At 47.1% G+C, this 25,406-nt stretch overlaps 2 protein-coding genes and 1 long non-coding RNA gene across 32 annotated transcripts in view, besides 4 other annotated features; 1 reads left to right on the plus strand and 2 right to left on the minus strand.

Annotated features, from left to right (window-relative positions):
- Nucleotides 1-17,614, minus strand: part of SLC41A3 (solute carrier family 41 member 3) — a 95,164-nt gene extending 77,550 nt beyond the window's left edge. For 6 of the 21 annotated variants that reach the window (NM_001008486.2, XM_017006708.1, NM_001008485.2 and 3 more), the window contains exon 1: nucleotides 187-218. The gene's annotated coding sequence lies outside the window, so the exon portion shown is untranslated. Of the gene's footprint in view, nucleotides 1-22; nucleotides 219-17,522 lie in introns of those variants that run through there. The other 15 variants (XM_047448409.1, XM_006713681.4, XM_024453609.2 and 12 more) reach the window with 8 other exon arrangements.
- Nucleotides 16-565: a silencer, noted in NCBI's record as "silent region_14673". NCBI's record gives its function as "represses an Ori minimal core promoter by ATAC-STARR-seq in GM12878 lymphoblastoid cells {active_cell/tissue: GM12878}" and the evidence as "EXISTENCE:reporter gene assay evidence [ECO:0000049][PMID:35858748]".
- ALDH1L1-AS1 (ALDH1L1 antisense RNA 1) lies at nucleotides 309-24,164 on the plus strand. 2 transcript variants are annotated; one of them, NR_190231.1, is made up of 8 exons: nucleotides 309-546; nucleotides 8,659-8,815; nucleotides 11,283-11,575; nucleotides 12,370-12,420; nucleotides 19,551-19,760; nucleotides 19,918-20,059; nucleotides 20,705-20,786; nucleotides 21,627-24,164. It is a non-coding gene; the product is annotated as an ALDH1L1 antisense RNA 1 (long non-coding RNA). The 2 variants fall into 2 exon arrangements; NR_189119.1 differs by lacking the exons at nucleotides 8,659-8,815; nucleotides 11,283-11,575; nucleotides 12,370-12,420; ... (2 more) ...; nucleotides 20,705-20,786; nucleotides 21,627-24,164 and adding an exon at nucleotides 1,453-2,474.
- Nucleotides 16,980-17,029: an enhancer, noted in NCBI's record as "active region_20435". NCBI's record gives its function as "activates an Ori minimal core promoter by ATAC-STARR-seq in GM12878 lymphoblastoid cells {active_cell/tissue: GM12878}" and the evidence as "EXISTENCE:reporter gene assay evidence [ECO:0000049][PMID:35858748]".
- Nucleotides 17,040-17,229: an enhancer, noted in NCBI's record as "active region_20436". NCBI's record gives its function as "activates an Ori minimal core promoter by ATAC-STARR-seq in GM12878 lymphoblastoid cells {active_cell/tissue: GM12878}" and the evidence as "EXISTENCE:reporter gene assay evidence [ECO:0000049][PMID:35858748]".
- Nucleotides 19,334-20,155: an enhancer, noted in NCBI's record as "H3K4me1 hESC enhancer chr3:125822083-125822904 (GRCh37/hg19 assembly coordinates)". NCBI's record gives its function as "activates a minimal SCP1, AML or CMV promoter by ChIP-STARR-seq in primed H9 embryonic stem cells {active_cell/tissue: H9 hESC(primed)}" and the evidence as "EXISTENCE:reporter gene assay evidence [ECO:0000049][PMID:30033119]".
- ALDH1L1 (aldehyde dehydrogenase 1 family member L1) overlaps nucleotides 19,664-25,406 on the minus strand; it is a 94,376-nt gene continuing 88,633 nt past the window's right edge. For all 9 annotated transcript variants that reach the window (NR_072979.2, XM_024453325.2, XM_011512355.2 and 6 more), the window contains 3 exons: nucleotides 23,235-23,340; nucleotides 21,820-22,019; nucleotides 19,664-19,940 (listed from right to left, as the gene is read on the minus strand). Coding sequence is in view for 8 of the 9 variants with exons in the window: in XM_024453325.2 (XP_024309093.1) it covers nucleotides 19,885-19,940; nucleotides 21,820-22,019; nucleotides 23,235-23,340 (362 nt within the window). In the remaining variant the exon portion in view is untranslated. The remainder of the gene's footprint in view (nucleotides 19,941-21,819; nucleotides 22,020-23,234; nucleotides 23,341-25,406) is intronic.

Raw genomic sequence — 25,406 nt, forward strand, 5'->3', positions numbered from 1 at the left:
TCCCCCAAATCCCGGTCCCCACCTGACTCCCCCTCCCGCCGAGCCCCCAGGGCCCGGCGCCCGGCTCACTCGCCTCCCGCGCACCCACTCCCGGGCGCCCTCTCCCGCGCGCCTCCCCGACCCCCCTTGGGCCCCAGCTGACCCCACCTTCCGCCCCAACCCCGCCCGGAACAGGGCCGCGCTTACCGGGTCCCCTCCCAGGCGGCGGCGGGAAAGAGGCGGGCGGAGGACGCAGGGGCGGGCCTGCGGCTCAGGCAGGAAGCGGGAAGGCCGGGCCTCCCTGGCCCCGCCCCGGCCGGGCGGCCGGACCTCGGACGACTTGGCGCTCCGGGACAGCAGCAGACGCCCAAGCTCCGGCAGCGCAGAGCCCCGCCGGGGGCCCGGGGGGCTGGGAGCCGGGGATCGCGGGGACGGAAGTGGGGGACCGAGTCTCGCGAGCCCGGGCCCTCCTCGCAGCTGGGGCCCCACTGGCGCCCCCGCGGGAGCGCTACGGGAGAGGCGCCTATGCGGCTGCAGGTTTTATTATGGAGCTGTCAAGGTAGAAAGGTACGGAGAACGGGAACCCACCGACAGCCAACTTCCCTTGGGACCCGCCTTTTGCTTTAAAAACAACAACGACAAGTCTGTGCTTCACCCCACACATGCCTTTCGTTTTCCCTTTTTTCCCAGAGTAATTTTAAAGCATCCCAGTGGATAAATTCTCCTTTAAATACTCGAGTATGTTTAATCAGTAAGGCCTATTTTTTTAAACATTCTCATAGTATTACGGTCACACCTAACGAAATTGGCAATTCCCAGTCCGGGCCTGAGGGAGGCCTGATGGTTCACAAGACTTGGTAAAATATATCATTATATTTTAAACCAAAAAATAAATGATAAGGCACCTCCCCGTTCCCAACCACCAAATCATCCGAATGGACTTCTTCCTCAGCCAGGACTTTTAGAATTTAACCTGAAAAACTGGTTCAGGCCATAAGGGGAAGTGGAGGCCGAACATGCCTCATTATCCCTCTCCTGCATTAACATCAACACAGACTTTAAGTCTGATAAGAAACATTTTACAGCCTCTTCTCTCTGAAGCCTGCTACCCTATCCGAATACTTCATCTGCGTGATAAAACACATTGGTCTCCACAACCTCTTAACCCAGACATTCCTTTCTTTAATCCCAGGTCTTTGGACAAACTCAACCAATTGTCAACCAGAAAATGTTTAAGTTGACCTATACCCTAGAACCACCCTCCCCCTCTTTGAGTTTTCCTGCCTTTCTGGATCAAACAAATTTATTTCTTAAATGAACTTAACTTGAAGTCTCATGCCTCCTCAGAATGTATTAAACCAAGCTGCACCCCGACCTCCTTGGGCACATGTTCTCAAGACCTCCTGAAGGCTGTGTCACTGGCTGTGGTCACTCATATTTGGCTCACAATAAATCTCTTCAAATATTTTACAGAGTTTGACTCTTCCACAATAATTTGGCACCCAGCGTGGGGCCTCAGAGAAGACTCAGGACCCCAAAGGAGTTGCCTGAACTCGGAGCGAAGATACCAGTGGGGCCCATTGAAGCCTCCCAGACTTCTAGCTTCTCCCCCGATGGAACTGGTTAAGTTCTCCTGAGCCCCAGATCGCCCTTTGGTTGACAGTCCTTCGTTTAGTGTGAGCTGGTTTTTCTCCTAGGAAGTTGTTGTTTAAGGATTCTAATTCTAGTTCAGAGACACATTCTAAAGGGTTTTCTTTATTGCTTTTTCTCCCAAAATTAATCTTGATTCGGCTTGTCTGCGCATTTGTGTGAGGAATTGAACTGTTGTTTTCATAGGTAAATGAGAGACTGAGTTTTCTCAACTCCAAAGAGAAAGGCATTTGCTCCTCCCAGCCAAAACGTGCTCCTGGGTGACTGGGGGCCTTGTGGGAGTGTCTGGGGGGGGGTTGACATCCTGTGACATGCAGCAGCCCTATGGGGAAATCCCCAACAAAAATTAATTTTAAAAATGGCTTGTCCAGGAATGCATATAAGGACTGATCACCCATCATTTTGAGCCCTCTCAAAGGTAATAGACCTCTGGAGAGAGAAACTGAGACATGTAACAGGGTGGAAACAACTCAGTGGTGACACATGGTGGGGTCCTGCCCACAAGCAGCACACATTGATCCACCACACAAAAACCCTAGGCCACAGCTCAGTTCCTACTTCTAAGAAAAAAAAAGGTGGGAAACAAATGATCTAAGAATGAGGAGAAAACAAGGAGAATGACCTCATTTCGGGCACTCTGTTGGTTTTATGGTGCGTCTACTTGCCAGAGCTTATGTAAAATGGAAATATAATGATCCTTGTGCACATTTACATTAAGGAAAAGAGCCCTAAGGTCAACCTGTACACTATAGAGTTCCTAAGTTCTCTTCTTCTCTATATTTTCTGCCTGCTTTAAATCTGCTTTTACTTTTGTACTGAAATTAAAAACCACTGTTTGGATCTAACCTATTTTTCTTTTTCTTTGTTTTCTTGTTTTTTTTTTTTTTTTTTTTTTTTTTTTTGCAAGCTGGGGAATTTGTATTTATCTCATGGCTAAAGTTCTGAAGTAAAAGCTATAGGATCTGTGTGTGTGTGTGTGTGTGTGTGTGTGTGTGTGTGTGTGTATTTAAAAGGATTTTATAATAGACTTCTATAATTTTGTTTAAATGGCAAATTAAATCCATTTTAATTTCCCTCTAGCAAACCAGACTGTCTCTTGGTACTTTGAGATGTAAATTTTGCTATCTGATTTTTCACCTAAGAGTTGTTTCCTTTAATATGCAAATGTAGGACTATTTAGCTGACAACTGCCCAGGGTGATGAAACAGGCTATCATGAATTTAAAAGTCTAAGGGAAAAAGAGGTCTTACAAATACATAAGATGTACTTCTATTGCCATGCCTAATACGCTATGCATTTATGTGTTGTGTACACAATGTGTCACTACTAAAAATATGTAAAAGAGCTCTAATTAGCTTAAGTAAAAATAAAAGCACTTAAATACTTGATCAAAAAATACTAATCAATGCTTTTCAAGTTCACGTGACAAGTAAAATATTTAATAAATAAACTGTCTTTAAAATCATTGGTAAAAAAAATTAAAATGTTCTAAGAATTGTTAGTATTTTTGTTTGCATTTATTGATCAAGTAGCTTCATGCTTATTCCTTCAGAATACTATAAGATTAGCCATAGGGTTATAAAACTATAAAACCCAGCCCAAGACAGAATGATCTTTGCTTGTATAATTTTTGATAAATAAGACATGGAATATGGTTGGTTTAATGAAAACAGCTAAATCATGAGTTACTGGAAAAAATACTCTTATATTTAATCATAAGTTCATTATTGAAGTAAACACCTGAAATTCACAGCTATAAAAATGGTTAACAGGGAAATAACTTCAATAATGACTGTCACAGTTTTTGTTAATAATCCAGGTAAACAAATAAATTAATCAGGTAAAGGTAATGGAATAAGTGTTTGTAAACAAACGTCATATAATTTAGGACCTCAGGTTATTAATAAGTATTAAGTATCTGGGTAATTTCCAATTTAAAAATTATAGAAAAACTTTTTTTTAAATGGTAAATATCTTTTTCTAATTCAAAGCTTATTTAAAGGTTATGTATAAAACAAGGTAAAAGGAACTAGGAAATAAGAGATGTAGAGAAACATAAGACATAAAGAGGTAATTTTTGGTAAAGAAGGTAAAAAGGAAAGTGATACTATATAAGAAAGAATCTTGTGTAGCGAATTTTTGTCCTAAAATAAAATGACTAGGTTGTTCAAGAAAGATATTTAGGACAGAACAGAAAATTTAAGCATGTTGTGAATGGTCTATGTAAGTTGTAATAAGGTTAGTAAAAGGAATTTGTTTAAAAAAAAAAAGATTGTATAATGCAGTTGGCTATGATTAAGAAGAAATTATAGTAGTCTTTCTAGAGATGGGTCTTTGATATTTAAAAAATACACTAATACAAAACTAAATAATTGGCTAAAACAGTATTTTATTACAAATATTGACTTATTTTTAATGTAATAAGTTTTAAATTTATAAACTCTATAATCTGTCTCTTTGACATTCTGCAGATTGATATCTCACAAGCTCAGCTCTTTCTCTTTTGAAATGGCCTTAGATAATAGATCTCTCCTTCACCTTTTGTTGGTTCCTGTAACTTAATAATAGTTATAGGATAATTAACAAAATTATCTGAAGGGAGATAATTTTTTTTTGAAAACAGGCCAATAAAATTAGATCTTGTAGACCTTTTAATTCTGCATGCCTGTTATATCTTTATCTGTGTCATGTGGAAGTGATATTTCACTACCAAACTACATGAAAGAGCTCTAACCTAGTAACTTTAAAAATGTAAGTGCTTATCAGATTGGTAGATGCTAGCTCAGATGACTTTTAATTCACATGATCTTGGTAATCTTTGGTAAAAGTAATTTGGCAAATTTAATCTCAAAACTCTCTAGTAATTTAAAATCTTAAAGTCATGTTAAAACCTCAGTTTTTATCACTGGAAATTTTGAATTACTAAAAGTTAAAATAGGAGCATAAAATATGTTTTTGGTGAAGTTTATAAAACACAAGGATGTTGATTTTGCCAGAAAAGGAAAGTAGGTTTTTCTTCGCTAGTTAAAAAACTACTTAAGAGTTGCTTTAGAATGAAGAAAAAAATATATACAGATAAAACTAAATAGAACAATTAAGCCAGAGCAACAAAAGTTAACTCAGACCTGTGGCTATCAAAAAGATAGTCAATGTGGGGGAAGGGCAAAACTATTTAAAACCAGAGGGTATAATATAAAGAAATTGTTTCATTTTGTAGATTTGTATCATCAGCTTCTTAAAAAAATGTATAGCGGATTGTAAAAATAACCACTTTAAGGACAAAATCCTTAATTTTAAATGCTACAGAAATTAAGAGCTTGTTTGGGTTGATGCAGCACCCCACAGCTCACTATTGAACAATCACTAATGAGTATATATGATCCAAATGCAGAAGAGGTCATTCCTGAGAGAACAGTTAGTCTAGTGGACCAGATAAATGCCACCATAATGTCTGGTTGCCCTGAGAAGGGGACTGCCCAGCTCTCTGTATAAAATACCAAGTGAAACAAGCACCTCAGATGAAGCAGTTAATATGCTTCATGTGCAAGCCATATAACTGGATTTAGGATAACTGGTATATCCTTCCACCAAATATGCCTATTACCGAAGTCATGGTAAATTTGGGGGTTGAGGGGGTCCCTTTTACATGGTTGCCCCTCCCACAGAATCATAACGACTGCTTGAGAAGCCTTATCAAATTTGCTATCCCTCATGAGTTTTGCAGATGCAGCTTGCTGCTAGGAACCCAAACCTTTTTTCACCAGAAAAGGTAAAATGGTCTTGGGGTAGAAAAAGGTTCCTGGGACCAGGACATAAAAACATACAGGTTAATAAAATAATGAAATGTAAGATGTTTAAACAAACTTTATGTAAGGTAGTTGTAACACCTTTTACCTAAATGTCTTATGAAAATGGGTACTGCATTTGACTGAGGGATGTTTCCCCTTTCTAGTGCTATAAAACTAAGGGCATGTAAATCTGCTCTTTTGAGAAATTGGACACACCAAATGGGAACTAGTAAGGTTTTCTGAACCCACATACTATAGGGTAGAAGCTGGAATACTAGTCAGGACAAATCCTCCACTTCATATCGTTTGTGGAACATTTACTGGGGCTGATGGCAAAAGACTGAGTACTTCCCAATGACAAAAACTAAACTAGAGAATTTCCAGTTGAGGGCCATTTACTGCCTTAATCTGGAATGTTAATTGAAGCTATCCCTATGTTAATGGAAACAATGGTGCCCAAAAGAGTTCCATAATAAAATAAAAATGGTTTACATAGAATCTTGCTACCTGGGAATATAAGGAGGAGATACTGATAAACAAGGAGCCCTTTCTTAGGACTAATTCTAACTCTGGGAGGAGTTGCTGGATTCCACAGTGCCTGATAGACAGCTCTCATGAGCTGCTTGGCTTGTGAATGGTATTTCCGAGGTAAATAGACATCTCATTTAAAAGATGCTGCTCTAGTTAAAGAAGGTCAAGAAAATCTTTTTTTTTTTTTTTTTTTTTTTTTAGTTATTTGAGTGAAGTATGTTTTTTAAGCAAATGTACCTTTCTCTCTAAGTTCTCCAAAATCTGGATTGTGGTTTTATGACAATATAGTTATTTGTGTAAGTTCAATAAAAGTCTTTTAAAACAGAACAGTTGGAGACAATGGTTAATGTACAAAGACTTTAACTAAAATAGTATATTTTTAGGTAAAGTTCCAGCAAAGCCAACTTAGAAGGAGCCTATGTGGCTAATCAATTTTTGCTGAATTTTATGCAAATAATCAGGACAAGTATAATGAGCCTAGAACTTACTTTACACAGAAATTGGTCTTACTATAATTTCTCTTTAGTAGAAAAGAAAGGAGCTAAAAAATGGTTTTAAAGGAAAAGTGTAACACTTGGCAGTAGATTTTGACCATAATTTTTGTTTTTTAAAGTGTAGATTAAATCATGAATTATTTCTTGGCTACAATAATCCTATAGAGAGTACCAGGTTATAATTTTTCTTCATATTTTTAATTGGTGCCCTAATTGAATAGGCTCCTTTTTCTGTTCTGACACACAAATTACTCTTATAATTGTCAAACTATAAATGTTATTTCTCTCTCCTTGTTTTACTTCCAAGGAAACCAAAATCATGGTATTCTGAAGGCCAGAGATGAGTCCCTCGTTTAGCATCCCACTGGGCCCAGACCTGTTTCACTACAAATGCTCTGCTGCTGAAACTATAAAAGCACCCTCCCTCTAGGCCTAGCAGCTATTGAGGAAGAGTGGGGCATGTGAGATTGTAAGGGCCAATTTTGAGGGATAAAATTAAGTCAAGGTCAAACCCTCCAAGTCAATAACAGATACGAAGATGCCCTCTTCCGGCCTTTATCCCCTGCTTGTCATGGAGTGAGGGGCCATGTTCTCTGGGAGCCTCTGCATGGTACCCCAGCTGCCTAGGACCTGAGAGGTCCAGTGGCTCCAATCCCCTTCTAGGATGTGTGCCCAGATCAGCACACACCTACAAAGGCAGGTTGGGGCATTGCTGTCTCTTCTCACAGGGCCACATGGAACTCCAAGGAGTCCAAGAAGTCTACATTTGAACTTGGCCTTACAGATCTCTATGAAGGTACATTTGTCAAGGCCAGAAGATAGACTCCATTTTACAGTTGTTTGGTTTTATTTATAATGTAGACCAAAAAGTATCTGAGACAGGTCTCAATCAGTTAGAAGCTTATTTTGCCAAGGTTAAAGACATGCTCATGACACAGCCTCAGGAGGTCCTGAGAACGTGTGCCTTAGGTGGTCTGGCTACAGCTTGGTTTTATACATTTTAGGGAAACAAAAGACAACACATGAAAGATTTACATTGGTCAGGCCCAGAAAGGAGAGACAACTGGAAGTGGGCAGGAGGGGTCGGGGTGGAGGGAGAGGCTTCCAGGTCACAGGTGAATTCAAAGACGTCCTGACTGGAAATTGGTTGAAAAAGTTTATCTGAAGACCTGGAATCAACAGAAGGGAGTGTCTAGGTTGAAATAGGGGTTGTGGAGGCCAAGGTTTTTTTATGCAGATGAAGCCTCCAGGTAGCAGGCTTCAGAGAGAGTAGATTGTAAATGTTTCTTATCAGACTTAAAAAGTTGTCAGACTCTTAGTTAATTCTTTCCTGGATCAGGAAAAAGACATGGAAAGGGAAGGGGATTCTCTACAGAATGTAGATTTCCTCACTAGAGACAGCTTTGCAGGGCCACTTCAAAATATGTCAAAGAAATACATTTGGGGGTAAAATACTTTGATTTATTTTATGGCCTGCTATCTGTCATGTTGGTGTCTTATTGCTACAAAGAGTCTGCTCTGTCAATCTGAAGGTCTTTGTGTTGATGTTAATGCTGGTCAGCTGTGCCTGAATCCAAACAGAGGGGTGTATAATGAGGCACATCCAACTCTCCTCCTTCCCCATCATGGCCTGAACTACTTTTTCAGGTTAATTTCAGGTCCTTGGCCAAGAGGAGGGATCCATTTGTTACCCATGAAAGAGATCTGAGTTACCCTGAGTTACTGGCAGCAAATTTATACTGGTCCTGCTGGGAACAGGCCCCCCAAAACCTGGCCATAAACTGGCCCCAAAAGTGGCCATAAACAAAATCTCTGCAGCACTGTGACATGCTTTTGATGGCCATAACGCCCACACTGGAAGGTTGTGGGTTTACCGGAATGAGGGCAAGGAACACCTGGCCCACCCAGGGTGGAAAACCATTTAAAGGCCTTCTTAAACCACAAACAATAGCATGAGCAATCTGTGCCTTAAGGGCATGTTCCTGCTGCAGATAACTAGCCAGACCTACCCCTTTATTTCGGCCCATCCCTTCATTTCCCATAAGGGATACTTTTAGTTAATATATCTATAGAAACAATGCTAATGACTGGCTTGCTGCTAATAAATACGTGGGTAAATCTGTGTTCGGGGCTCTCAGCTCTGAAGGCTGTGAGACCCCTGATTTCCCACTTCACACCTCTATATTTGTGTGTGTGTGTGTGTTTAATTCCTCCAGCGCCGCTGGGTTAGAGTCTCCCCGACTGAGCTGGTCACGGCAAGTGGCGTCCATTGTGGGGGCTCAAATCCAGGTTGAAGGGTTGCCAGAGTGACGGTTGGAGAACGTGGAGAACTAAGCTGGAGGACACCCGAGTACTCTTAAAGCAATCCCCATGGTGAGTAAGAAGGGGAGCTCAGAAGCATCAGGGTAACAATGGGACAAGTGTGGAGTCTGGTTCATTCCACCTTGGAACTTTTTCACACTGATGATGAGGAAGAAGGAGAGTGTAACGAAGTAACAGTAGAGGTTACAGAGCAGGTTTGTTTGCCAGCTAAAGCTAAAGCAGCAAAGGAGGGAGAGGTTCATCCCTACCCTTCTGCACCCCCTGCTTATTATTTTGAAGAAAAAGACCCTCCAGATCTTTCTTTTCTGCAGGATACTGGGTGAAAAGTAGTTGCCCCAGTGACTGTTCGAGCAGCACCTCAAGCGACCGCTTTCAGTTCTATTTAGGCAAGAATCCAGCAAGCTAGAAGAGAGGGTGATATAGAGGCTTGGCAGTTCCCTGTTAGAATACACCCTCCAGATCAACAGGGAAATATAGCTACATTTGAGCCTTTTCCTTTTAAATTACTCAAAGAATTTAAACAAGCTATTCATACTAAAAAAGAATGTAGAAATAATCAGCGAGTCAGGCTGCCAGATAGGGGAAAAAAGAAAACTGCTGAGTCTGAAATATGTCCAAAATATAAAAAAGGAAAACATTGGGCTAATCAGTGTAACTCTAGGTTTGATAAAGATGGGAACCCGATTTTGGGAAATGCCATGAGGGGCCTGTCCTGGGCCCCATTCCAAACCAGGGCATTTCCAGCTCAGGCCATTCCCTCACCCCTGTACAATGTCTTTCCCCTACCACAGCCGGTAGTGCTGCAGTAGATTTATGCTGTACAAAAGCTGTGAGCCTTCTGCCTGGGGAACCCCCACAAAAGGTCCCAACAGGAGTCTGTGGACCCTTGCCATCAGGGACAATAGGATTACTTTTAGGAAGGTCTAGTTTAAATTTAAAAGGGGTACAAATACAAACAGGAGTCATTGATTTAGATTACAATGGGGAAATTCAAATTGTTATATCTACTTCTGTTCCCTGGAAAGCAGAGCCAGGAGAGCACATAGCACAGCTCCTGATTGTGCCATATGTGGGAATGGGAAAAAGTGAAATTAAATGAACAGGAGGATTTGGAAACACAAATAAAGAAGGCAAAGCAGCTTAATGGGTAAATCAAATTACTGATAAACATCCTACATGTGAAATAACTATTCAGGGAAAGAAATTTAAAGATTTGGTAGATACAGGAGTGGACATTTCGATCATTTCTCTACAGCACTGGCCGTCTGCGTGGCCAATTCAACCTGCTCAATTTAACATAGTTAGAGTTGGCAAAGCCCTTGAAGTATATCAAAGTAGTTATATTTTGCATTGTGAAGGGCCTGATGGACAACCTGGGACCATTCAACCAATTATAACTTCTGTACCTATAAATTTATAGGGGAGAGATTTATTACAACAATGGGGAGCACAAGTTCTAATTCCAGAACAATTATATAGCCCTCAAAGTCAACATATGATGCATGAAATGGGGTATGTCCCTGGTATGGGACTAGAAAAAAGTTTGCAAGATTTGAAAGAACTGCTTCAAGTGGAAAGACAAAGTTCCCACCAAAGATTAGGATATCATTCTTGATGGCGGCCATTGTTAAGCCTCCAGAACCTATACCTTTAAAATGGTTAACAGATAAGCCAATTTGGATAGAACAATGGCCACTAAGTAAAGAGAAACTGGAGGCTTTAGAGAAATTAGTTACTGAACAATTAGGAAATGGGCACATAGCTCCAACATTTTCGCCTTGGAATTCTCCAGTTTTCGTAATTAAGAAAAAAATCAGGTAAATGGAGAATGTTAACTGACTTAAGAGCCATCAATTCAGTTATACAACCTATGGGAACATTACAGCCAGGATTGTCTTCTCCTGCTGTAATTCCAAAAAAATGGCCTTTAATACTCATAGATTTAAAAGACTGTTTCTTTACTATCCCTTTAGCTGAGCAAGACTGTGAACAGTTTGCATTTATAATTCCTGCAGTAAACAACCTGCAGCCTGCTAAGCATTTTCATTGTTTCACAGATGGGTCTAATAATGGTAAAGCTTCTTATTCTGGCTCGAAAAGTAAAGTTTTCCAGACTCCCTATAAAAAGCAAAGCTTGTAGCTGTAATTAAGGTATTGACTGTTTTTGATATGCCTATTAATGTGATTTCTGATTCTTCATACGTGGTTCATTCCACACAGTTAATTGAAAATGCTCAGTTACAATTTCATACAGATGAACAATTGATAATAAAAACAAAAAAGGGGGAGAAACAGGGATTTGGGACAGCCCATACACAATTGAATCTAGCATTATTAACTTTAAATTTTTTGAGCCTGCCCAAAGGCCAGATGTTATCAGTAGCTGAATAGCATCTACAGAAACCAGCTGCAAAGCCAGAAGCAGAACAACTGATTTGGTGGTGAGATCCAATAACAAAAAATTGGGAAATAGGTAAAATAATAACTTGGGGTAGAGGTTATGCTTATGTCTCTCCAGGCCAAAATCAACAGCCGATTTGGATACCATCAAGACACCTGAAACCTTATCATGAGCCAGATGCCAAGGAAGAGATTCCAGGAGGATCCCAAGGACCCCCTGTTGCAGCCGTGTTGAGGCTGATGCTCAGGAGGACCCCAACTGTCACAAGCAACACCTGTTGAACACAACCACCCACCGGAGGACAGATCAAGAAGCTGTCACAGATGGCAGAAGAAAACCTAAGGAAAGCGAGACAGCCAGTCACAATGAGTAATTTAATAGTAGCTACGATAGTGATGATCACCATTGCCGTGAGTATTCCTTCAACAAGGGCTGACACAGAGAACAATTATACTTATTGGGCATATTTATCAATCTTGGCTGGCAATAATGCCTGGATGTAATCACTCTATGACACAGTTACACATGCTTTCTGATCTCAGTATTTACCATAATAAATCTGTTCCTATAATTGAGGCATACAGCCCTCAAAAACCTATTTGTAAACAAAATTGAACCTGGCCAGAAAATGAACGTACTTGTTTAGGAAGATTGCATTGCAGAACAGGCAGAGGTGCTGCACAACGATTCCTATGGAATCATTATTAATTGGTCCCCTAAGGGGATATTTAGCTTGAATTGCACCTCTGAGTCTGCATGCCATGGCCACACTATGTTCAGATGGTCTGAACAAAACGGTCAGATGGTAGAAATGATAAAAAGTATGACAAGAGTTCCTATTATCTGGAACCATGGCAGTATAGTGGCACCTCAACCTCAAATGATATGGCTTGTTGTAGGAGCTAACATAAGATTTTGTGGAAACTATTAATAGCTTTTAATAAGATCAAAATTTGGGAAAGAATAGAAAAGCATCTAGAAGGACACTCTACAAACTTGTTTTTGGATATTGCAAAATTAAAAAAACAAATATTTAAAGCATCCCAGGCACACCTGACCTTAATGCCAAGAACTGGAGTGCTTGAAGGAGCTGCAGACAGATTAGCAGCTAGTAACCCATTAAAATGGATAAAAACACTTGGAGGCTCTGTGATTTCAATGATTATTATGCTTTTAATCTGTGTTGTTGTTTTTCTTTGTATAGTCTGCAGATGCGGATCCTGACTCCTATGAGAAGTAGCTCACCGTGACAAAGGTGCCTTTGCTTTTATCAATTTGCAAATCAAAAAAGGGGGACATGTTGGGAACAGCCCCCCCACCCCAAAAAAAAACATGGCCATAAACTGGCCCCAAAACTGGCCATAAACAAAATCTCTGTGGCACTGTGATGTGTTCATGATGGCCATAACGCCCACACTGGAAGGTTGTGGGTTTACCAGAATGAGGGCAAGGAACACCTGGCCTGCCCAGGGTGGAAAACTGCTTAAAGGCGTTCTTAAACCACAAACGATAGCATGAGCAATCTGTGCCTTAAGGGCATGTTCCTGCTACAGATAACTAGCCAGACCCACCCCTTTATTCTGGCCCATCCCTTCGTTTCCCATAAGGGATACTTTTAGTTAATCTAATATCTATAGAAACAATGCTAATGACTGGCTTGCTGTTAATAAATACGTGGGTAAATCTCTGTTCAGGGCTTTCAGCTCTCAAGGCTGTGAGACCCCTGATTTCCCACTTCACACCTCTGTATTTCTGTGTGTGTGTAATTCCTCTAATGCTGCTGGGTTAGGGTCTCCCCAACTGAGCTGGTCTTGGCAGGTCCTCAGCAACTTCAGTCCTTCCCTCCTCGGAAGAAAGAATTCAACTGAGGGGCATAGAGCAGAAAAAGAGACTGAGGCAAGTTCCAGAAAAGGAATGGAAGTTTATTTAAGAAGTCTTAGAACAGGAATGAAAGGAAGGTGTGCTTGGAAGAGACCCGAGCAAGCACGTGAAGGCTAAAGAGAGAAGGTCATGTTTGACCATGATCCTAGGACTTTTATAAGCTCCCTTCTTTCCCATGATTCCTCCCTGAGGGTGGGTTTTCCTCATGCCCAGTGCTTTCCTTACCTTTTAGAATTGAGCATGTGTGGTGTGTTTAGGGAGTTATACACAGGCCCATCTGAGGCTTTCTTCCTTTTTCCAGTGGAGTGTGCCCCCGGAAGATCATACTTCACCATGTTTTGCCTCTTAACATGCATGCCCAGGAAGTTGCTTCTCCCTGGGGCCTGCATTCAATTAACATTTTGCTGTTAACAGGTGTGGACTACCAGGAAATGGCCTCTCCCTGGCGCTGTGAAATTAGCATTCTTAGAGAGGCAATTCAGTAATTGCCGAACCACCACCCAACATTTTCAGTGGATTAAGGGGGAGCCCTATCCTACCCCGCTCATGCCTAACTATCTGTAACACATTCAATTGGTTGGGAGACTTATAATTTTATTTTTGGCTTACAATAATCATGAAATATTTAGATATATGGTTTGTGGACCCTCACTTGTACTTTTGCCCTGGGCTCTATAAATTTTGAGCTGGGCCTGTCTGGTTTTCATAGAGTTATGGGTACAAGACACTATTTTCTTCCTAACTCTAATGCATGAAAAATAAACTGGCAAAGTAAAATGACAAACAGCAACCAGCAGCTGGCCTCAGTCAAGGAGAAAGCACGGGGAAAATGGGAGCATTCTAGAAAAGGAGGCAACCAAGCATTGCAGCCAAGCTCCAAAGGGCAGTCACCACACCAGCACACAGGATCCACTTCTTGGGACCTTGGTAAGTGGGAGGCAGTGTGTACCAGTTCCTGTAGACTAGTTCATGCCCCTCTGTCTCCCCCTTACACAGAGCACTTGCAAATGCTAGTTCAGGAATCCAGAGGCCTGGCTGGAGTCTAAGCAGTGAGTAGCTTGGCAAAGAGCTGCTATGCTGAAACTGCAGTTTTCAGTGGAAACTAAAGATAGGATAGACATAAGATATATTGGTAAATAATAAAGTCTCATACAATGTTAGGAGCTATTAGGATTGAATTGGGTCCCTGCAAATTCATATGTTGAATTGCTAGCCCCCAATGTGACTCTATGTGGAGATAGGGCTTATCAGGAGATAGTAAAGATTCAGTGAGGTTATAAGGTGGGGCTCTAATCCAGTAGGACTGGAGTCCTTAGAAGAGATGGGAAAGAGATAGGGGAGACCTCCCTCTGCACAAGTACACCAGCAAGAAGGTTACCATCTGCAAGACAGGGAGAGAGGCCTCATCAGACAGAATCCTGTCGGCACCTTAACCTCAGACTTCCAGCCTCCAGAACTGTGAGAAAATAAGTGTATTGTTTAAGCCCCTGGGCCATGGTATTTTGCAATGAGCTGCTATAACAGTATGGCGCCTCACATGTAGTGAGGTCAATAGTGTTTCCTGCTGTTATGTTTATTATTGTTACTAAAACCCTGATGGGACTAATCTCTAAGGAAGGAAGGATTCCCAGCTCCCAGATGGACCACGGGGGAGGTCTGAGGAATAGGGAGGGCTTGACTGTGAGCTTGACATGGGCATCCAGGCAGGCCTGGCCCTGCCCACACCTTCCCTCATGACTGTTCCAATTTGTCACTGTCACCCTGCCACCACAGTGTCCAGCTGGTGTTCCCAGCCAGTCTCCATCTTTCCCAAATGGATTCCAGGTTGGTGCCAGCAGCCTTAGTCCAGGGCTGGCCTCCATTTTCCCCTCCACTGCTGGCAGGTGGCCCTCTGGGAACAGGCCCCAGTGGTGGGCTGGCCAAGCCCTGACTTCTCTTGACAGCTGCTCCAGGAGGGATGGACATGACCTGGCTTTTTTTTTTTTTTTTTTTTTTGTATTTTTTTGTAGAGACGAGGTTTTGCCATGTTGCCCCAACTCCTGAGCTCAAAGTGATCCACCCGCCTCAGCCTCCCAAAGTGCTGGGATTACGGACATGAGCCACTGTGCCTGGCCAAATTTTATGTTAAGTATGTTTTCTCATAATATTTTTAAAGTCCATGCTTGGAGCCTTTTGTGACCACGAGGCAGTGCAGAAGGCAACCCAGGACAGATCTGATTAGCCCTCAGCTACTTTGCAATTGAATCTCAGGTTCTGAGCTCCTGTGAGTAAAATCTGAATTCAAGTTAGTGCTCCAGAGCCCGGGAGCAACTGGAACTTTCCCACCATCTACCTGGTGAAGCATGGATTATCTTATTTTAAAATTTCTATTCTTTATTTCTCATTTAAAGTGACGGCAATATATTAATATCATTTAGATAATGTGTTGGTAATATGATCTGTGAATTTCATTAGAGGATTTAAAGAGGGTAGAATGAGGCCAGGTGTGGTGACTCACGCCCATAATCCCAGCACTTTGGGTGGCCAAGGCGGGTGGATCACTTGAGGTCAGGAGTTTGAGACCAGTCTGGCCAACATGGTGAAACCCCGTCTCTACTAAAAATACAAAAATTAGCCAGGCACCTGTAGTCTCAGCTACTCGGGAGGCTGAGGCAGGAGAATCGCTTGAACCCGAGAGGGGGAAGTTGCAGTGTGCTGAGATTGCGCCACTACACTCCATGAGTGACAGAGACTATCTAAATAAATAAATAAAGAGGGTAGAATGAAGATATTCAGGTAGTTAAGGTTGGGAATCATTGTTTTAACTCTTCCTCTACTGTTTGCTGTTTTGGTTGCTCCAAAACTTTATAACTGCGTTATAACTGATACCCAGAGTCTGTCACTGTGGCCATCAACACAGCCCTGAGCTCTCAGTAGCTTATGACAGCAAGGATTAATTTCTTGGTCCTACTCATGTCCACTGTGGGTTGGCAGAGGGAATAGCGGCCTTTGTGGAGGATGCCTAATGGATGTGCAGTCCAACCTGATGTGGTGGGCTTTGCTCTGCAGTCTGTTCCTGTTTGTGTCTCTGTAGCTAAAGAAATCAACTCCTCTTTGAGCTTGCCCAAAAGGGGTCATTCCCACAAAGAACAGGGAACAAAGAGGAACTGTTGATTTTGGAGGGGAGAAAAGGAAGGGAATTTTCATTACATACTCCCGTATTCTCCCCAAAGACAGGTCTCCACTCTGCCACGGAGGGTCCTCTTCCCCCTCCCTCCCCCTCTTGCCACGTACCGGGCCCTCCTCTCTTTTCCACCTCCCTTAGGATTCTCCTTCCCTTTATTACCTGGAGCAAGTCTGTGGCCAGCCTTTGATTCTGAATGTCCCACCGCCCCAGCTTCACCACATCAGAATGTTCTAGGTAAATGCAAAGCTCTCTCTGGAAAGACTTCTGGTGAATTCCACTTCCTCACCCTATCCCAGTTGGATGAAGTCAGATCAGCAGAGCACTAGAGCCCTGGATCCAGCGTGCTGCCACCCCATGCACACACTCCCTGCCCTGGTGAGCTGCTGGTAGTGGCGGAGGTTTAATGTGCATTCAGTCACACTGGGGAAGGTCATAAGAAACAGCTGTGTGCAACTTGCCACCATATGAAGTCACATAAGACGGCAGTCATTATATTATAAAACATTTTTAAGGAGGATTCATGAGATGGATTACTATCTCTATGAGAAGCAGTTATCTCTATGGGAAGCAGAAACACTAATTTGTTTCTGGCATCTGGACACCGTGAATGAGGTCACCAGTCAGGTGTCCTTGCACTCTCAGCAGCCAGAAAGCTCTGAGCTGAATTGTGGCCCAGCTTTAGAAGGGTATGCAGTTTCACAGCCTGCAGTCTGGATACAACCACACTCCGGGTTTGACTCACCACCACTTTCCTCTCAGCCCCCGTTCACTCATGCATATTTTTGTTTATTATACTTCTAAACCACCTTAAATGCTTCTGTTAACATGGCGAGACATAAACGTTCTCAAAGGCCACAAAAGCTTATAAAAGCTTATTTCCCACAGAATAGCCTGGCAGTGAGTCGCCCCGGGGGAGATGAGCCTCCATGATGTTGGACTCGGCTTCCTCCATCGCGGGCAGCCGCACACCCCTCCTTCCCCCGGGTCCAAGTGCTGCCCACATCCGCGGGGTTGGGCAATGCCCATCGCCGTGTCACTGGGTCTGCTTCCAGCCAGCCCGGGGAGGGAAAGGAGGGCAACAGCATGACCCCCCTTCAGGGTGCATGTTGGAAACCGCACAGATCATTTGCAGCCAGATCCTGTTGACTAGAACTTGGTTCCATGACCAACACTTAGTGCAAAGTATGCTGGGAAATCCAGCCTTTCTTCTGGGCAGCCGTGTGCCCAGGTAAAATGCAGAGGTTATATGACTTAAGAAAGAAGGGGACAAAGAAAGGAAATTGGGGGATAACGAAGTCTTATGTCCTTACCTTACACTTTCAGGAGAATTATGGAAAGGGGAAGAAAGCTGGAAAGCTGGGTCCAGTCTCGCCCATCTGCACCAGAGGTCTCCAGCGTGACTGCAGTGGGCGCCCTGGCTAAAACCAAGCTCTGTTTGTGTCTGAAAAGCAGGGAGAGGCACTTCCTGGCTCTGTTTGAGTTGGATGGGCCTGTGCTCGAGGCTTTGCCTGCTCTTCTGTCACGAAGGATGTTTACGGGGAAGCCAGGACTGACCCTATGGAGACACCAGGCTGGCTTCCACCTCTTGTTGGGAGGAGTGTGAGCGGCCTGGCTGTGGGCTGAGAGGCAGCTGCATGTGCTTGGATGCTGCCGTGGATACCCCAGCCCTGGTAGTGTTTGAGGCAGAACAAAGGGAACTCAGGAAGCAGTTGACATGGACTCATCTGTTCTGGTATAAGTGGCACGTGCTAGGGCAAGTCCCACCGCTAGGGACGGGAACAGCTTCTCTCCGGGAAGCTGCCATCTCCAGCACCAGGCATTGTGGTAGAAGACCAATTCTGAGCTAGGAACAGAGCCCAGAAGGCTTTAAGCAGAAGTGAAGGCACATTCTTTTCTGTCTGGAGGCAGCAAGATGTGAGGCTGGACATGCCAGGAGCACGCCGGGGTCTGAGCCGACCCTGCCGCAGAAGGCAGGTGGGAAGTGGGAAAAAGGAGGCTCCCGGGGGGCCTGGCTTGGGCCTGGGCTTCAGGCTCTGAGGAACTGCACAGAGTGGGAGTTGGTGGGTTTCTCCTGGACTTCTAGAAAGGCCTGTGAGCTCAGCCTGACTCCAGCAGTGCACGGGGCATCACCAGCAAGGCCTGCTTTGGTGGGGTGGCCATGGGAGAGTAGAGCCTCCCCTATGGTGGGTGTGGGTGCCCAGGAGCACAGCCACCTCTGCCAGGCCACCCCCAGCCAAGGCCTATTCCGGGAGACTCGGCACCTGGGAGGGGTGAGTTCCTCTACAGGCAGAGGGAGCTTCAACGTCCTCCTAACTTGGGAAGTAAGGGGAATACAATTTCACAGTAGCTGTGCAGCCTTGGGCAGTTAGATGTCTCTTTGCCTCCATTTCCTCATTTATAAATGTTGATAAAAATACCTCCTGCCTCCCTGGGATCATGAGTAGCAAGAGAAACATGCATGGAGGATTTGGATTCTTGCCTGGCATCGAGCTGGGGCTCAAGGGACAGAAGTGTAGCCAGTATGGAGCTTGGCACTGCCTGTTGTTATTGCTGCTGGCAGCCTTCGAAAGGCGGGGTCTGGACAGGCCTTTATGGAAGCACACACTTCCTAGAAGAGCAGGAATCATAAAGGAAAGCAGGGCAGGGAATCCCTGAGGAGACGGGGAACTCACAGGCCTCTGAAGGGCAGCATGACGCACAGAGAGGCCTGAAGATGTTCCCAGACATGCAGAGGCTGGGCCTGGAGCTCTCAGCATGGCCTGGGCCTGTGGGAGGGACAGAGGGGCCTGCAGTGGGCCTGTGGGACCCAGAGGGGCAGAGCCAGGTGGGTGGGGAGATGAGATGCTAAGAAGAGAGCTCCATGTGGGGAAACTGAGGTAACAGCAGGTAGGTCAGGTTGCAGTGTTTGGTGCCTATAGGATGTGGGTGCAGAGAGGAGGGCCGCAAGCTCCTACAGGGAGAGGGCACAGGAAAGAGAGCTATAGCTCAGGTCCCTGGGCCAAGGAGAAGCCATAAAGGTACATAGGAGACACCGTGTCAGACGGAAGACAGCTCTGCCTGGCATTCCCAGCTGGGCCCAGCCCTCCACTGCAGGCCCTCGGGCTGGCTACCAGCTGAGAGCACGGCCGTGCTGACAGAGCAGGGGCGAGGGCCCGGCCCCATCTGCTGAGGGAGTCTGAGCTGCTTCCCAGTCCAGGGCTCACCCAGCTCAATCCCCGTCTTCCCACCTGTTTCCCAGGGGTTACCCTTCCAAACCTCCTGCAGCCCTGACTGTCGCAGCTTCTGCTCTTTGGGGCCTGAGATGACCCACACCCATTTCCTCCTGTCTCTCTCCCCAGGTGTCTGGCTCTCCCAGGCCAAGCAACACCATCATACCCAGGTGATTGCGCAACTTCCAGGCCCACCCAGGAACACCCACAGGTGGAGCAGAGAAACGCAGAGATGTGGACGGTCTCTCTTCAGAAGCTTTATTCTCCCTGGGAGGGGCACACCTCACCCAGCCAAGGGCTGCTTCTGACTGGACAGAGGGCGTCCAAGATGCAGACATGGTGTGCAGGCAGGAGGGCTTCCACTAGCCCCCCAGGTGGGAGGTGCTGTGCACCCAGGCTCAAGAGGGAGGGGGCCCCAGCCACGAGGGAGGGGCAGGGACTTTCTTCTCACAAAGACCTTTCTTCAGTATTCGAAGGTCACTGTCTTGACCCGCAGGTACTCGTTCAGAGCCGCCTCTCCTGTAAGACACCACAAAGGTCACAGCAGCTCCCACCACAGGCAGGGCACTGCTCGGGGCTGCAAGTGTCTTATTCCTCAGCAACCACGTGGGGGCAGCTCTGGCTCACCCCACTTCCAGGTGAGAAGTCGAGGCCCAGCGAGGTCATGAATCTTACCCAGGTTATCCCTGGCAGTGGATAGTGGGCCAGGACTCCCCAGAATACAAAGCCAATCTGAGGCAGCCATTTAAGAATCTTCCCCAGCTCCCACCGCCTTGTCTGGACAGTGGGAAGCCCCTTCAGGTGGAAGGGGGTGGAGAGACTTGGCGTTACTGCCCAGACTCACTGGCCCATCTCTTCTCTCATGGCTGCCCCCAGCTACGTCTGCATCAAGCTGTGGCTGGGAAAAGGGGATGCCTCGCAGGGCCCTGAGGCCCCAGGCCTTGGCAGTGCTATGTGGCTGGTGCATCTCAGCCCCATGACAAGTGTGAGGCCTGGGGCTGCCTGACAGCTCCCCAGCAGCTCTGGCTGGCCCCAGGAGTGGCACTGCCCCGTCCCTCTGAGGTCCTGAGTCTGCCCAGGCAGGCTGCTTGGAAGGCTTGGCTTGTGGGCCTGTCCCAGGAGGGTGCTGGTCCTCTCAGCAGGACATGGGGACTAGGGTTAGGAGGGAGCTGAGGGAACTCGGGGAGGATTCATAAGGGGCCCAGATCACGTCCTGGGGACTTGGCAGCCACAGCCTTCCCTGGGTGGCCATGGGCCTCATGGATTCCCCTGGTGGACACCAGGAAGGTGGCCTGGGAGAAGGCAGGAAGAGGAGGCCGACAGGGACAGAGGAAGCAGGAGTGTCCAGCCTACACATGCGTGCATGTGAGTCCAGCCCTGTGGGCACACATGGGCCCCTCTCATGGGTACCCTTGGGGGCTTCTGCAGGGCTTGAAAGATGGGGGCAGGGGGAGGAGAGAAAACTGGAAACAGTGACCAGCCTTTGACCCCCAGCCTCAGCATGACCTTCCCTGTGGTCTCTGGGCTGGCACAGGAGCCTGGAGAGACAGGTGGGACCTCTGAGACAGCATATGGCTTCCCCGGACCTTGCCAGCCACCCTTGCCAAGCTTGCCCATCAGACCTGTCTAGTCCCCCCTGCTGAGAGAGCAGGACGAGGCCCAAGGCTTGGAGCAGCCCAGGGAGAGAGGGCCGGAGCAGAACTCCATGCCACCCAGCAGGCAGAGCACTGGGGAGCCTGTGCTGTGTGCCGGGGGACCCCGCCTGCTATGTGCCGGTGGACCCCGCCTGCTGCCGCCTGAGTAACTTCACCTCTACTGGGAGACTTGCAACACCCGTGGTGTTCACCCGGGGGTACATTTGGTCCCATGGCTCCTCTTTACACTAAGGATGCAACCTGAGCCCCTGACCATGGCCCATGGGCCTTCAATCTGGCCCCTACCTGCCTCTCAGGCCTTCTCTCCTCCCTCCTGCTCCCCCTTGGCCCACTCCCACCACTCTGGCCTCTCTGCAGCTCCACGACCAAAGCTGGTTCCCCCAAGGACCTGCTGAACCCTCAGCCAGAAACACGGGCCCCTGGGTCTTCATGGCCAACTCCTCCCTGCTATGCAGGTCTGGGTAGCACAGGTGCCACCACACCAGAGAGGCCCCCAGTGCCTCCTGGCTGGAGTGTCTCCTCCAGGCCCCTCTTCTTGCCTTCTTCCCAGCACGACCCCCCTCTGCAAGCATCTTGCTCACGGACTTGTCACAAGTTCCCTCCCAGTAAGAAGCGAACCCTGACAGCCATCATGTTCAAGGCTACGTCCCTGCATCTGAGATAGGACCTGGCCCTAAGTGGTTTTGAACAGATGTTTGTTGAATGAATAAATGAAAGCAACCCCACAGGCAGGAGTAGGTTACCTAGATCTTTGCCAAATCCAGACTGTTTGAATCCTCCGAAGGGAGCGGCCACGTCGGTCTTGTTGTACGTGTTGACAAACACAGTGCCTGCCTGGAGCTTGTCACTGACATACAGGGCCTTGTTGATGTCCCTGGTGAAGACACCAGAAGCCAGGCCAAATTCCGTGGCATTGGCCCGAGACAGCACGGCATCCAAGTCCCTGGAGAGAAAGTCCAGGAAGAACTCCCTGAGGGAGGTGCAGAGGAGAGCCTGGCCCACTCCACACCCCGGCCCACTCCACACCCCAGCTGCATAAGACCTTCCGAGGAGAAAATGTGCCGGGCTGCAGCGCCGGGGGCAAGATTGGGTTGGGTTGGGCTGCGAGCGAGGAGGAAGGGCAGAGGCCCATGGGCAGGTGGCCACCACAGGGGCTCCTGGATCATCGGGTGAGCCCTTTATTCCACAGACTGGGAGCAGGGGCCCAGAGAGGGGCCGCTGGGTCCTCACATGCAGAAGGACCCACATGTGCCCGCCGCAGGTTGGGCATTCACCAGACATCAGCGATTTGGAGACTTACTACAACCATATTTATTGGCTAGGTGGCAGTGAAGTCTCTTATTCTAATACCACTGACATACGATGATAATTTCTGGGGTTTTTTTGGTAGTTGGATAGTAAAATGTGAGGACGAGGCACGATTTTGCAATTTGCTCCAAGGTGCTACGGAGACAAGGGGCAGGCCTGAGAAGTGACAGCATGGGCCTCAGTGGCCCCACTGTGAGTGGAGTACAGTTTTTCCCTTCCAGCCCAGCCTGGTCTGGGTGACTTGCTTCATCAACAGGCCGTGGTGGAAGGGATGCTCTGGGATTCTAAAGAGCTAGATTATAAAGAGCCTTTTGGCTTCCACCTGGCCTCCGAAGGGAACCAGGTGCCTCGGCAACCCCGAGGCTGCCACGCGGAGGAAGCCTCCCGCAAGACCCCCAGCAGCATCAGGATAGCCACTCTGTCACCCCAGCTGAGGCCAGACACTGCATGGAGCAGAGATGGGTTTGCCTCATTGAACCTAGACCGTGACTAAAATAAATCTCTGATTATTCCAAGCCACTCAGTGTGGGGGGTGGTTTAATGCATGGTAACAGACCTTAGAACAGAGCCCAGCGGGCTGTGAGAAACATGCTGGAGCATGTGACAAGTGACAAGGACAGGGAAGGGAGCTGCCTTTGCTCACAGGGGGGACTCAAAGCCCCAGGTCACTGGGCTCTCTTCTCAGGGGTGTGGAGACTCAGCAGGCGGCACAAGCGGGGTGTCCACGGCTTGCGCCCTGCCTGAGTTCTCCTCCTGACTGCCCGTAGACTACCTCCCAAAGCCCACATGAAGACCCCAGTAACACGTGGGAGAGAGTCAGGGCCCTTGAGACATCAGCAGGATTCCCTACCCATCAGCAAACCGAGAGATGATCATGACAGGCCCGAAGGACTCCTCCTTGGCTATGAACATGTGGTCTTCCACGTCTGTGAAAACAGTTGGCTCAAAGAAGAACCCTGCAAGAGAGATAAAAGCCCGTTGCACATGGGAGACACGGTGCCCGATGGTCCAGCCTCTCCGTCAGCAGGGCCTGGGCCACACCAGCCACCTGCGGATGACCCGACATAAGCACCGGGTCACGGCACCCGTGTGATGGGTGTCACCACGCTGCAGATGGCTCTCCCACCTGGCTTGTTCTTTGATGTGGGTCTCACCGTGCTTTTAACGGAGTGCTGTTGAGGGAAATGGGGCCGCCGGTTGGCAGGTGACAGAGCTGAGACCTGATCCCAAGTCCATCCAATCCTAGTGCCAGAACCCATGGCCGAAGCAAAGACTTGAGCTTTTCTGGTGACAGCTAATCTAAAACCACCTAGATTCTTTGGCAGGTGAAACCTCCCAGGCAGCTCTGCCACTGACCCTGGTGGCTACAACCCGTGGAGTAGGAGGAGGTGAGAGGGGAGGAGCTCTGGGCACTGGGACCTCCTGGGGCTTCCTCCCTCTGCCCTCCCAGGGTCCCTACCAAGGCCCAGCTCCATGCTCTCCAGTCAAGAAGGGACCACCTACTCCCAACCCTGGATGCAGCCCCTACAGGCCCTGGTTGCCAGGGCAGAAGCACTTCTGACAACTGAAATGCTTCCTCTCTGTTTTCTCTAGAGACAGAGCCCTAAGACCTGCTGCACTGAGGTCAATCCTGCCTGACCTCACTGAGATTCAATCCTGCCTAACTTAGGAATAATCAAGAGACTGGGAATTTTCTCACTCTAGTTTTTAGAGAAATAGAAAATTTCAAACCATGTTAAAAAGTTATTTAATAAAATGTTCAATATTTTTCATACATACATAAATGATGTTTTAACACTGATTACAATTCTGAAAATGTGACTCATGTACATGCATAGTGGTTTATGTGGCCTGTGTTTACTCCACAGTCTTGCACCACTTCTGCCAGGGCATGTGAGCCATGCTGACCACCCCTCTGTCATCCCCTCCCCATCTACCTTGTACTCTCCCCTGTCCCCTCTAGACCCTGAGAGCTGGTCTCCTGGTCATTGGGCCACCAGAAGGCAGCCCCATCCCATGCTCTGCCCCTCACTGGGCTGCAGGAATTCTGTTCCTTCTCATACCCCCTCCAGGGCGGGGTGATGGCTCCCCACTGTTCCTGGTTCCTGGGTGCTGCTCTACCCCTTGCTGGCTCCCTAGCCCTGCTCCTGGTACAAGGCCTCCATCACACTGTCTTCCACCAATCCTGAACCCGGCCATCCTTGCACTGCAAGGGTCCTGGTGATGCTCCCCCAACCCCACCTGCCTCATGGAACTCACAGTCCAGCGGGAGTGGGAAGAGGGTAAGTGGACAGTGACAGCAGCAGTGCAATGGTCACGAGAGCTCTGTTGAGGTGTGCGGTGCCCGATGCCCTGTGACACGGGCATGCCCGGGCTTGGATGTCCTGTGAGCTGAAGAAGCAGGAGCTCTCCAGGTGGGGACACTGGAAAGCCTCCACTAAGCCGAGCAGCAGCAAATGCATGGAGCCCAAGAAAGCAGGAGAAGCCTCTGGAGAGAATGAAATGCAGCTGCAGTACAGGTCAAGGGCAAGTCAGGCACAGATCATGAAGGACTCCGGCTGTGAGGTCAAGGAGTCCGAACTTGCACTGCAGGAGGATGGGTCACTGCTGCAAGGTCTTAACAGAGGAGAGGTCACCAGACCCTGGCAGCTGTGTGAATAAAGGATCAGCAGGCTCACAAGGCCACTTGGGAGGCTGCTGTGACACTGAGCGAGGCAAGATGTAGGGAGCCCGCACAAGGGTCAGGGAGGCAGAGGAGGCCCAGAGTGGGACAATTCTCAGATTTGACAGAATCAGGCCAATAATTTAAATGAGGGTCACAGAAAGAGAAGAGTCAGGGATTCCTTCTTTCCTTCCCTCCTTCATGCCATCAAATTAACTGAGCACCAACTCTGTGCAAGGCCCGGTCTAGGCACAAAGGAGCTAGGGGTGAGGAAGACAGTCATGGCACCTGTCCCCCAGCAGCAGCGTCAACGGTCCATCCCCGTGGCTGCTGCGCTTCTGGCCTGGACTGCTCGATCAG

Source organism: Homo sapiens, chromosome 3 (genome assembly GCF_000001405.40).
Source record: "Homo sapiens chromosome 3, GRCh38.p14 Primary Assembly".
NCBI classification, from domain to species: Eukaryota; Metazoa; Chordata; class Mammalia; order Primates; family Hominidae; genus Homo; species Homo sapiens.